The 13,816-nt window shown below is 41.2% G+C and overlaps 1 annotated feature.

Annotated features, from left to right (window-relative positions):
- Positions 2,692 to 3,406: an enhancer, noted in NCBI's record as "NANOG-H3K27ac-H3K4me1 hESC enhancer chr10:54643985-54644699 (GRCh37/hg19 assembly coordinates)". NCBI's record gives its function as "activates a minimal SCP1, AML or CMV promoter by ChIP-STARR-seq in naive H9 embryonic stem cells {active_cell/tissue: H9 hESC(naive)}" and the evidence as "EXISTENCE:reporter gene assay evidence [ECO:0000049][PMID:30033119]".

Below are 13,816 nucleotides of genomic sequence, written 5' to 3' on the forward strand. Positions count from 1 at the left end.
TCTGAGTTCCTAGAAGGCAGGGGCTATGTCTCCATTTCCTTGTCGCTAGGGTGGAAGACATTTCCTGGCTCATACTTTGCGCTGAGGAAGCGTTGAATGAATGAACAAATGGGTACAGGCAGTGTTTGACTATAAAGGGGACTTTGGAAATCAATTAGATTCATTGGATGTGGGCCCTGGAAGGCAACTTCAAATTCCCTGGTGGTAGAGAATCTTAAAATGTAAAATGAACAATTCTGGCCTTCAGCAAATCTCAGAGACCTAATTGTCTAGATATAATTAATTCCAAGGCATCCTGGTGAGGTAATGGCATGTGCATGCGAGGGCATCTTTTTTGAGCCAAAAATTTCTTCTAACGTGTCATGGGACAGTCCTCAGAAAGACTGAGGAGAAGGTGCTAAAAATTGTCATGCTTACTTTGATTTGTAGTGTCCTTGGGTTGTTTTGTCTTTGACCACTTACAAACTGATCTCACTGGGCAAACTGAGTCAGAGCAGCTTTTTAGATGTGTTAATACAATTTGTTTGTTTTTGAGGAAGAGGCTTAAGTATTCAGAACTAGAGGAAAGATAGAGATGGTTAGAGTTGGAAGGAGTTTAAATGAGTCCAGAAATAAATTAACAAAACAAGGCAAAACAATGGAACAGAAGAGAAGTTATGTTCAGCCACTGACCCCTATTTCCTCTCTAATTGCTTATCAGCTTTAGCGAAGCCCTTTTGTACTCAAGGAAGCCCCTTGGTACTCTCACAGTCCTTTCTTTTTCTCAGTGAGATCTCGCCCTCAGAAAACTGCTTGTAAATTTCTATAATGCTAAAGTGTAACTGACTATGTGTTGCAAGGGCAAATACAAATTATAAGTAAGATTCTTAATTCTCCCTGTTGAAAATAAAGAGACTTCCCTCCCTTTTCCTAGACCACTTACTTTAGAAAACTTATACTGTATGTATAAGTTCTTTCTCTTTTTGAAATGTATGTAAATCTTTTTAAAAGCAAAATAAGCCACTTGGCAAAATAGTCTTTCTCAAGGACCTAGGAACCGTGTCTTTCAAATGTAATCAATGAAGGTAGGTAGCACCATATCTCCCAGTTTCCGTGGGAGGGTAGGAACCCAACTTTGGTGAGCACCTTAATTCAAGTTACAAAACTATCTTCTTCCATAAAGATATGAGAAGCTTATTTTTTCTTTTGTACAAATCAATTAATTAACACAGGTAGATACCACAATTACCAGGGGATTTTAAGATGAACTATGTGTGAAAAATGGTGCCGTCAAGTCCTCTTACTTGAGGACTAGTTATTTTTTACCTTGAGGGCACGTGTAGAATGGGTTTATCGGCTTGGCTATATCAAAGCGTAAGATTTCATTCTGTCTTTGCAAATTCTTAGCAGACTATTTGTGATACGCATCACATTCTGGTTTAATGCTTATTCAATAACAAAATTGTTTTCTTCCTCTTCTAAGTTTGTGAAGAAGTTTTTTGGGTTGGGATGAGATTTTGTTTTTAATTATATTTTCCAATATAATATACTTTAGGTTCAGAGACATTTGTATTTTAACTGGTGCCAAACCTTTAAGATTAAAACACTGAATTGCTATAAACTTCCAAGAACCAGTGAACTAAAATGGGAGGTTTATCAGGAAGTCTGGGAAGAGACATGTGTTAAAGAAAAACTTAAAGCAAGTTAAATTTAACAGAGTTTATTTGAGCAATGAAAAGGCTCTAAAACAGGCAGCACTTCAGATGGAAGATGGTTCAGAATGGTGAGCTGTATTTATAAAAAGAAAGAGACAGGAAATTACTTATTACAGAGATTACCTGATTGTTGCAATTCTGCATTTGCCTTATTTGTGAGGAATTTGGCAACGTTCAACCTGGGATTGGCTACTATGGATTGAGACTCCATTGCTTGGTTACAAAGGCATACTCTTAGGTTAGGTTAGAACTTGCTTTCACGCCAAGCTGTGCTGCAGTTCACTACATAGAGAGAAACTTTGGCCCAAATTTTATTAACCAAATATGGAAGGTGCTTTGAGCTAAACTTAAATAAGTTTAACATATGATTCAGGGCCAGGTGTGGTGGCTCACGCCTGTAATCCAAGCACTTTGGGAAGCCAAGAGTTCGAGACCAGCCTGGCCAACATGGCAAATCCCCATCTCTACTAAAAACACAAAAATTAGCTGGGCATTGTGAAGGGGGCCTGGCTAAGGCAGGAGAATCGCTTGAACCCAAGAGGCAGAGGTTGCAGTGAGCTGAGATAGTGCCACTGCACTCCAGCCTGGGCAACACAGTGAGACTCCATCTCAAAATATATGTAAATAAATATAAATATAAATATAAATATATATATGATTCAGGAATACCTGAAGTTCTACACATTAACCAGTCTCTTGGGAGTGAGGAGCACTTTTCTTGGAAGGAAATAGCTGCCCTCCAGTATTTGGTAACAGTCTGCACAGGTTTGTAGCCTAGGAGCAATAGGCGATACCATATAGCGTAGGTTATGTAGTAGGGTCCTTCATCTTTGTTTGTGTAAGTACACTCTGTAATGTTTGCACAAGGATAAAATCGCCTACGGACGAATTCCTGGGGATGCGTCATCAAGCGAGGCATAGCTGTGGTTTCTTACCTGCTTTCTCTGTGGCTTCCACCTTCCATCCGTAAGGCTACTTTCCACAGAGTACACAGAGTCATCTTTTTAATATGCCGAATTACATAATTCTATGCTAAACCCTCCGAAGATTTCCCATTCCTCTTAGTACGTCAGTGACGGTAGATATTGAGACCACCCGATGGAAGAAGAGCGCGTAGGATGTGTTCTGTGACCTACATGCCTATGTCCAAGATAACAAAGGTCAGTACAAATGGGAGTAGAAGGTTGTCATTTCACCTGTTATCCCCTAGATGGTAGTGTGGAACCGCGCAAACTTCTACCTCCGTTGTGATTTCTATGGGGCATTGATGGTGCAGTTATTTTAAGTTGAATCTTCAGGCAGCCTGAACTAAAATCGACAGGAGTTCCTACTTTTTTTCTTTCTTTCCTTTTCCCGCTCCCTTTCTCCTTTTTCAAGAGTGCTAATTGTAGCTTCGAAAACGTGCGCGCGCGCACATACACACGCATCCCAAATGGCAAAATTCTCAAGGTGCTAGATTCTCTCAGAAAAGCACGTCTGCTGTTCCTGAATGTAGACTAAACAGGGTTTCACGTCCAGGAGATGGGGGCTTAGGGAGGGGATCTTCCAGGGAAAGCATTCGAGCTCCCTGGAGCCACGACTCCCTTTAGTGGCTTGTGTCTGCAGTTGAGGGCTGCCTGGCAGACGCCCGGACATTTGGGAAAACAGTCCAAGGTCTTGCAAATTTCATCCAAATTCATCACTGTTACAAAATGCTGCTGTTTTCTTTCTTTTTCCTTTTTTTTTTTTTTTTTTTTTGAGACGGAGTCTCGCTCTGTGGCCCGGGCTGGAGTGCAGTGGCGCGATCTGGGCTCACTGCAACCTCCGCCTCCCGGGTTCAAGCGATTCTCCTGCCTCAGCCTCCCGAGTAGCTGGGACTACAGGCGCCCGCCACCACGCTCGGCTAACTTTTTGTATTTTAGTAGAGACGGGGTTTCACCGTGTTGCCCAGGCTGGTCGCGAACTCCTGAGCTCAGGCAATCCGCCCGCCTCGGCCTCCCAAAGTGCTGGGATTACAGGCGTGAGCCACCGCGCCCGGCTTCCTTCTTTCTTCTGAGGGTGAACTTCTCTAAATGTAGAAACATTCAGAGAATAGGTGGTCACAGGAGAGCAGGTTTGCGCTGGCAGTGAGGGTGGGGTGGCTGGTTCAGAGAACAGAACACACCGGAGCTGTTGATCATTTCCCAGGGAATGGGAATGGAAACAGAGTCACAGGAGCTCCTAGTTGCTGTCGTTTCTTTCAATCAGTGGTTTTTGTGGAGGCAAGAGGCTCCATTGAGCTTCCCGTGGGCATTAGGCTACATAATTTGCAGGTCCTAGAGAAAAATGAAAGTGCTAAGCAAAACAAAAACAAAAAACAAAAACAAAACAAAAAAAAAACAACAAAAAAAAGAATTTTAATACTGGGACTGCAGAGCATTAAACCAGATTGGTCCTCCCAAGGACAGGACCCTATGTGACCACCGCTCTGTTCACACCCATAAAGCCCGTAAAGCTCTGCCACCGGGCATCCACCTTTCCCCCATATTCAGTGCGATATGCTTGTATTTAGCCTTGTCTGTATCTCACTTTCTTAAGCTTTAGGGAGCATTGATTGTGGTATCTTGGACCTACAGGAGAGGTTTTCTCAACAACCTGTGAAAGGAGCTGCTCGCTTTGTAGAAACCATGCTCCTAACCCCTCTTTTTATTCATGTTAATTTAATGTCTGCCTTGATATTGTTCAAAGGAGCTTCCTCAAAATTGGGTGTTTCTGAAGCCTAGGAACAGACGCCTTCTGTTTTGTTCTGAAACAGGCTTCTAAGGAGGAGAATCCTCGATTTGGAAGGGCCCAGGTGAGGCCATGGTTGAACTCAGACCCAAGAAGAGAGAGGCTTTTTATCTGCCTAAAAGCAATCTTGTTTTGGTGACAATGTGTGGGTGGGTGTTTGGCTCTTTTTTAATGCAAGGAAAAGATGTTAAGTTTCAAAAGTAATTTTTGTTTTTCTTGGTCCAAAGTTTTCCTTCTTCCTTTTGGACAACATTCACTTAACTTTCTGCCATAAGTTAATTCAATTATTCTTTGACTACAAATGGATAAGCATGAATTTCATTGATGTGATCAATTTTTAGTAATTACACCACCTTCACATGTGAGATTTCACTAGTCCTTACAGCATCCATGTAAATAGACCTTCTCATTGCCATTTTCCAGAGGAAAAATGGCGGTTCAAAAGCATCAAGTGAATGACTCCAAGATCACACAGCTAGGATAAGGTGGGGGACTTACTCAGGTCCATGCAGACCCCCTTATTCCATATTCATGCCTGCTCCACCATACCATGGTGCCATTTCCAGAAATAATTTCTTGGTATAGGGATATCAAAGTTCGACTGTTAATCCTTACAAATTAGAGTCTGTACTTTTGTAGCCAAAAAATGGTTTTATGGTATATTAAAATAAAATTTAGTCAGCATTGCTTTCCTCTTGAAAACAGACTGTGAATTCCCAAAAGATAGGAATAGTTTTGGCTTCATTTTTAGAACAGTTTCCTACACAGGAGCCCACCTTGAATAATCCAAAAACATGCTCACTGCACCTTCCTTCATCAGCCAAAATCCATTAAGTAATATACAGAAAGCTTAAGTCCAGCATCATTTATTTGTATTTCAGAGATCTAGCTTCAATAAGTAAGATGATCTGTAAAATATCTAACATATAAGAGACCTTCGGTTCATCTGTCCCTTCGTCAATGTTTCACAATTGACAAATATTAACTCACCTCACATCATGTCTCCAAAGTGTTAGAGACGACAGTAAACAACACAGACGTCACTGGGCTCATGCAGCTTACATTCTAGTGAGGAAGACAGAGGATAAACCATTGTTAAATGTATACATCAGAAAGTTATAATGAGGACAATGAAGAAAAAGAAGAGACAGTAAGAACACACAGGCAGATGAGAGTTGAGTGCCATTTCAGTGAGGGTGTTTCTACTGCGATAACATTTGGGTAAAGACTTCAATGAACTTGGAGAATAATAAGTAAATATTAGTCATAATAACTTCTTTTCAAGAGCATAACACCTTATAACTTTTGATGGTGACCTTTCTTCCCAAACGTTTATTAAGACCAATACCAATGTTTGCTCTGTTACTAGTCTAGTATCATATAAAGTTGCTATAAAGCATCCAAAACCTCTCTTTGTTCAAATGCAGATTTTCCTGGCATATCAGCATCCCCCTTGTAGGCCCCTTGCCTCCTGCTGGCAAGCCAGCTGACAAACTCCAAATGCTGACTCTTGGCTTCCTTCAATTTGTCCTCCACACCTGTGGCCTGGGTCCTTCCTCGTGTGGTCATGTGGTTCCATGTTTTGTGTCTCAGACGCAGAAACTTTTTGGAGAGAAATAAGCACAGTGCATATGTAGACATTTTGATTCTCCCCAGCTAGAGAAAAATATACGCATCGGATAGTTAGAAATTTGGAAACTGATTCAGATTACAATGAAAACATTAAAAGTCTCTTTACAGAAGATAGATATTTGCCAACTTTAAATCAAAAAATCATAGTATTATGAGAATTATAATTGCAGGGCAAGCATTTAATTTAATTCAGCCCTGAAGTTCTGCTTTCTAGGATGCACTTAAAACTGTCAGGGGAAGTCTGTTTTAAGACAAATTAAAGGGAGGTGAATTTGCACCTGTGTTTTAAAAGAAAGAAATTAAACTCATGGATTTGGAACCTAAAATGTTAAATAGAGAGAGCAAGGTGGGAGCAAGTAGACAGGAGGAGCTAAGTGACAATGCAGGGAGGGATCTTGGAGTTTGAATAATGTGACCAGCTTTAGAGACCACCAAGTTCAACTACAAGTGGAGCCCTCAGTGAGCAGCCTCAACGGATTGTTTGTATTAACAGGTTAACTTCATTGTCTTTTTCCCACGTGATTGATTTTGATCTAGCTTTTTGTCTTCACACTATATTTGATCTTAAATCCCCCCAGTCTATTTCAGTTTATTGCTTCTCCGTTTCTCTGTGCTGCACTGGAGGTAATTTTCTCATCTGTCTTTCAAATAACAGATTATCTCTTTTGAATTGTCTCACTTACTGTTTGACGATTTTATGAACAGTTTTTCATCTCTAGAAGTTCCCTTCGTTCTTTTCGAAGTTTACTTGTCCTTTTTTCATAACATTCTGCCTATCTTTTGTCCCTTCCTCTCTCTTCAGACATGTTCGGCATGTTTAGTATTATTGATATTTCTTTGGGTGTGAAGTCTCTCCTAGGTTGCATTGCCCAGTCAGTTCTCACACTGGTAGGTTTCTTCCAGTGCTGTCTGTTTTATGCCCACCTTCAGTGGGAGTTGTCTTCTTTCACCACCCCCTTTGGACAGGATTTCAATACTGACTTATTATTATCATTATTATTTTGAGACGGAGTCTCGCTGTGTCACCCAGGCAGTGGCGCGATCTCCGCTCATTGCAGGTTCCGCCTCCTGGGTTCACGCCATTCTCCTGCCTCAGCCTCCGGAGTAGCTGGGACTACAGGCACCGCCACTACGCCCAGCTAACTTGTTCTGTATTTTTAGTAGAGACGGGGTTTCACCGTGTTAGCCAGGATGGTCTCGATCTCCTGACCTCGTGATCCGCTCGCCTCAGCCTCCCAAAGTGCTGGGAGTACAGGCTTGAGCCACTGCGCCCAGCCAATACTGACATTTTTTATACCAGCTTCTCCTCTTGGATTTTCATACCACTTGAATACACAGAATGTGGGTCTCACACTTAAAAACAGGGCAGGCTTGGGGTTCTGCATGCATAATAATCACTGTTATTTACCTGAAGCTCAAGAGGGGAGTCAATTTTCTTTTCTTTTTTTTTTTTTTTTTTTTTTTTTGAGATGGAGTCTCGCTGTGTCGCCCAGGCTGGAGTGCAGTGGCGCGATCTCGGCTCACTGCAAGCTCCGCCTCCCAGGTTCACACCATTCTCCTGCCTCAGCCTCTCGGGTAGCTGGGACTACAGGCGAGGGGAGTCAATTTCCAAGGTAAGCCCTGGAGCAAGTGGGGAGAGGTTTCTGTTTGTTTGTTTGTTTGTTTGTTTGTTTGTTTGAAGTTTCTGATTTAGACAGGATCATCCCCTATTTTTGGCTTTTGGTTTTTTGCAGAAAGGGTAACTCCAGCTCTCCCCCAAGAATGGCCACAAAACTAGTTGAAGATTGAGTGCTAAAATCATACTCCCTCACATCTGTACTAGTTTCAGGTATCTCCAAGGACTTCTGCAACTTCACCTGATTCTCAGTGTTGTGGTTCTCAGTTTTCTGCCACACAAAAAGTTCTCTTTCTTGCTTCTGAGCTTGACATGAATTTGAAAGGTTTATTTTTAAATTGCACATATAATTTATAAAATGTTTGGAACCAGGGAACTGGGGATCGAACCAACCTGTCTTCTTCACTAGAAGCTTCTGAACTAATTCTTTATGTAATTATAATTGGTGGCAGTGGCAGCCCATCGGCAGTGCTGCGGCAAAGATGCCAGCTGCAGCAGGGGAGCGTGGTCAGGGCTGCGACCTCCACAGTGCCCATGGGAGACGGGAACAGGTGGAAGCCCCGCCCTCTTCTAAGTTAGAGGGGAGGGAGCCCCGTCCTCCCTGGTGCTGCTGCAGCCACCCAGCCTCAGCTATGGACCCAAGTATCCCTGCACTCTCCGGGATTTCGGAAGCACCCCCAGGACCCTGCAGTCTCAGTAGTGCTGGGTTCCGACAGAGCCCGAGCTGGACACTGGTCCGGATGATCTGCCTGTGGAAAGGAGCCACCCACTTCAGGTCTCCTGAGAGCTGTTTTGTTGCTCAGGGAACCTCCTTTCTGCCTTGCTCACCCTCCAGTTGTCCACACACCTCATTCTCCCTGGACGCAGGACAAGAACTTGGGACCCGCTGAATGGCAGGACTGAAAGAGCTGTAACACAAACAGGGCTGAAACATGCCCCCACAGACTCACACACCCTCCAATTGCCACACTGCGTCCATGAGAAGGAGAGAACAGCTGTGGCCCTTTGGGAAGCCCAGACCTAGAGGCTCCCCAAGCCAGGGCTGTGACAGCCTCTTTGGGGCTCAGCAGTTCCTGGTGTCTCCAAGCTTCCAGGAGCCACCACATTCTCCTCCTTCAGACATGGGTGCCCACAGGGGAAGCCGTGTGTGGTACATCTGGTCCAGCCACAGCCTCGCATATAACCAGCATCTGTGCGGGCGTCTGGAGCTGCCCACCCCTCCGCAGCAGCCGGCATACCTGGCTGTGCGCGGTGGCTGGACCCCGCGCTTGCTTGCTCGCACATCCCTCACCACTCTGCGCCTGGCTCGTCCTTGGCAGGTGTGGGATCTGGGCTGGTATTGCAAGCCAAGCACAGTCTGCCAGGCCGAGTGCGTGGAATGAGCCCAGCGGGCGCAAGCAATACTCAGGAAGAAGGCACCACCAGCTACAGAGGTTTCTGGATGGCAAAGCAACACTCCAAAGATTCCATGACATAATGAAGAACCTGATACTAGGTAGCTTACCAGTCACAAAGCCTGAACCCAGAAAAGGGAATGGTAACTTATTGGTAATGAATTAATTAGCTATTAATGTCCTCTACATAAAGCAGATTTATAGTTTGAAAGAAGTAATCAAAACATCTGCTGAAAATGAAAGCAAAGTACTTATTGAATGGAATAGAGTATCATCATTGCACTTCCCAGAGACAAATTTCATGCCTGTATATGCACCTGTTCTAACACAAATTCTTTTGTGCCTCTCTACAAGATGGGATTGAAGTCTTGGTATTCCTAATAGCCCACCATGTTTTACTTATGTGCTGGACGCTCACTTTTTTTCATCATTGCTAAGTCTAAATTCTAGCAATCTCAAATTAAACAGTGATTCCTCTTTCTCATGACCTAAAAGATAGGGTATGAATTGGTTGCTTATCATACCTGTGGTACATCTGAAAGTATGAGAAAATCAATTAATGAAAAAGTTGTGAACAAATGGTAGCAGTTTAACACACTGGTATGAGACGTATTTTAATAAAACAAAGTTTAAGTATCTCTTTTTCTGTGCTTCCAGACAAAACAAATATGGTTTAAGACCTTCTGACATGTATTCTAGGGAGCACTCCAAATTCTTGAGAGGACCTTGGACATATGTCAAGGAGTTAAACAGATATCCTCTGGAGTAGCTGAAACTGAGACAGCTAGAAGTCTGCAAGAGAAATGCATTCTGTCTATCCTAATAAGACACCCTGGGCAGTGAAAATGAACATGGGCTTTGTACGAAGCCCCAAATCAAGAGTCACAAGGGCATAAATTGCTAATTAAGTTATGATTATGATTTGCAATTGAGATGCTTCTCACATGGGCAACTTTATGTGTTGTCCTTCAGGATAAATATCAAAGGAATACTTTATTTAATGTTGAAAATAAAAAAAGATACTATTGAAAGATAATGGGTAATTATTCTCTGAATATAGTTGGATATGCCACCTAGTTGAGAAAAAATATTTTTTTCTACCAATGTTCAAAAAGAAAACATCATTGAAGAGCATGTTTTGAATTCAAGTTAATTAAAATATTTTATTTTTAAAAGACCAACCTGGTATTGAAATAATATTTGATTTAATTTCCCCAAGCCAGCTTTGAAGGTTTCTGTCTATAGTTATTGTTAATTTCAAAGCTCAGTCTGTCAGTAGAAATACAAGTAGATATGAAAACAGTGAAGCATGATGAAGAATTTCTGCCTTCTACTGTTAAAGGGATCTATTTTTTTAGCTTCTTGCTATTTCTTAGCTCAAAGGCAATGCTAGGAAAGCAAAGCATTTGGGGTCAAAAGCATTTTTTCAAGCTAAAAGGAATGATCTCCTCAAAAATTGTCCTAAGTATGCAAAGTAAGGTGAGAGAGGGAATGTTTTTAAAGTGAGAAAAAATTCCTTACCTGGGGAAATTCCTCAGGGAAGTTGGTAGGTGGAGATGAAAAGGAATAAATAAATCACATTTCTCAGTGACTAGTACTGGGAAGTCAGAGGATGGCTGAAATAATCTCTTGTTATCATCGCTTAAACTTCTATGATTTGATTAAGGAGAGCCCCAAGGAATTACTTTTTAAAGCATGATAACACAAATCATCATATTTTCTAAGTAGTGTCAATGAAAGTTTCTTCCTTTTCTTTAACCCATTGCTTTATTCTTACACCTTTTCTTTCTGACAGAGTTACTCTCTGAGCTGCTTATTTGGTGTGAAGGCAGAAACTCCTTATCAAAAAATATTAAGTGAGTCTAAATATTAAAATTGTGAACAGATTAACTCAGGCATGAAGAAAATATATTTTCCAAAAAATAAAGTGAGATGAACATGTGTTAAACGAACTTGAAAATAAAAACATTAAAATGTGTGTCAGCACACTTACATCAATTAATATTCGATTTTAAAGGCTATATATGGAGCAGTTGGTATTCAATTTAAGAAAACTTTCCTGAACTTTAGTATTTTATGGCAAGTACTTCATTTTCTCTTTGTAGACCTAATGAAATAGTCATAAGAGACCTGAGAGATTTCAAAGGAAATGAATACAATAAAATATTCTTAATTTATATTAATTGATGGGAATTAATTAATAGGTATTTATTAGATACCCACTAAGTCCTGTGCTTTGGGGCATATAATAGTCCTTGCTCAAAAATGCTTACAACCTAATTGTGATTATAAAATTAAGTGTCAATGAATATAGGGAATCATTGAAAACTAGTTGGCTGTCCCTGACTGCAAATCTATGTGGATATTAAAACAGAGAAAACATCTTTTGAATCAGAATCATCTTGAGTGGCTCAGTACATCAATGTGAGTGGTTTCTTTTACACTTCCAGAAGGAAAGGAAACCTTTCCCTTTCTAGAGCTAAGTCCTCTTTTTCTGTTGACTGGGGCAAGGGAGTAAGTTATTCAGAATCATGGAAAGTTTGGGAAAAAGAAAGCAAAGGAGAAGATGGAGATGTTGTGGTAGGGAATTTCTGTGTACCTATTGGTGCTCTAAATTAATCAAGTCTGACTTATAGGAATAAGAAGAAAAAGAAAACACTGTTTCATTGCCTTAAACTCAATACAAAATTCTGTTTACTAAGCACTGGGACCAAGATGCGTCCTTATACATTTGCTTCAGTGTCAAGGCTTGGTTTTCCATAGATGGTTTATTTGAACTTGGATGGTGCTTTAATATCCAAAAAGAGTTTTTTTTTCCACAATGTCATCTTTTCCTTTTCAATTTGCTTGACAATAATACTTTTTTAAAGAATGAAAAAATAAGCATTGGCCACATTAAGGAAAACAGTCACAAATTGGAGCTCTGAACTTATAATGATGCTATATTTTATTTATATGACTTTTTACAGGTGACTTATTTATTTATCATTTAAAGAAGAGTTTTTGAGCCTCTACTATATGCCAGATACTGTTATTAGGTTTTAGGGACATATTGGGGAGTAGAGATGGAGTAGTCAATAAGACAGCTACCATCTGCTTTCATGGAGCATGGTTAAGGAGTGAAGACTGAGCAGAGGAAAAATCAATGAAAAGCAAGAAAACAAACAGAATAATCTTGGGTGCAGATAAGTACTATGAAGATAAAGAAGCCAGGTGATGGGTCAATGTGGTGGTAAAGGGCGCAGGTAGAGCTCTTTTGGAAAAAGGGAAGAGGGAAGGCCTCTCTGTGGAAGTAACTTTCAAACTGAGACCTGGATAATGCCAAGGGCAAGCCAGGAACTGGGGAGAACATTCCAGGCAGAGGGAGCAGCAAGAGGAAATGCCATGAAGCAAAACTGAACTTGGTTTGTTTGAGGAAAGTGAAAAAGGCCAGTGTGGCTGTCATACAGGGACTGATAGGTAGTGGTTTGAGATAAAAATCAAAGAGGCAACATAGCCTAAATCATGTGGGGTCTTGCAAATTGTAATAAAAACCTTTTCATTGTTTAATTGGAGGTACAAAGTGAAAGTACTGGAAGGTGTGAGTAGGAGAGCAAAGGGTATTTATGTTTTAAAAATATTGTCCTGGCCACTCCTTGAAGAGTGAACTGCAGTGACAAGACAGGAAACAGGGAGGAAAGTTGAAGGACACTGACATGCTCCAGGGGAACATCCTCTGGCCATTCTCATTTTTGGTGGAATAGACGGGGAGTCAGAGAATAGCTAAGTGAGATCTCCTGAGTCCAGAGGTCTTTTCCTTTCCTCCCAAAGTGTGAACACAGTGAGGCTGGGAGTCTCTGAGCCTCTGCGCCTCAGAAGGAAAAGCAAAAGATTTGATGATGGAAGATTTAGCGCAGGCCCTGACATTGCCACCTACAAGCTGAGAGAACCTGGGGAAGCCACTTCATGTTGAGTTTCTGTGGATATGAAATGTGACTCTCATGAGAAATGATAAGACATAGTCATAAAAGAAATACCTATGCTAGTTAAATTATACAAATAGAAGAGTATAAATTTCATAAAAGTCTTTAAAATTTAAAAGATGGAAAGGATTAAAAGTAAAGAGAGCCAGGGGCTGGTTTGCTTCCCTGAGTTTTAAAAATTGTCTAAGTTCAGGCTTTAAATGGATCAGCAATATACTGACTCTGCTATCACTGGCTCGAGGCTGATGAAAAGGTCAGTGATCTAGAACAAAACTATCTTCCCTGCTGACTCTGGGAAACTCATATCTTGCAGGAGAGAGAAGATTTACATAGAAAGATAGGCAGACAAGAATGGAGGTTAGAAGGAGTAATGTGGCTCATTCGACAAGTGACACGAGGGGAAGGGAACATCATAATTTCTCTTGGTATTTGTTAGTATGCCATTTATTCTACAGAGGGCTGGCAACATGTTTTATGATTTACAGAGCTTGTTTGCACCTGAATGTCCAAGCTCACAAGGCTGCATTTACTTAAGTCATAGCAGCTAGAAAATTCCATGGGGGACTAGCAGGCTGGTGTGGAGACAATTGCACTGGTTACTTGGTATCATGTTGATGAAAACCCTGTGGTTTTGGATTGAATGTTTTGCTTTGCATCCAGGGTACATTTGTGCTCTGTTGGCATAGCTTAATGCTGATGAGCTGAATCTGGAAAAGAAAGATTGTTGTCTCACCAGTTGGCTCTGGGCCATTTTGATGCTTAAAGAAATAT

Source organism: Homo sapiens, chromosome 10, assembly GCF_000001405.40.
Source record: "Homo sapiens chromosome 10, GRCh38.p14 Primary Assembly".
NCBI lineage: Eukaryota > Metazoa > Chordata > Mammalia > Primates > Hominidae > Homo > Homo sapiens.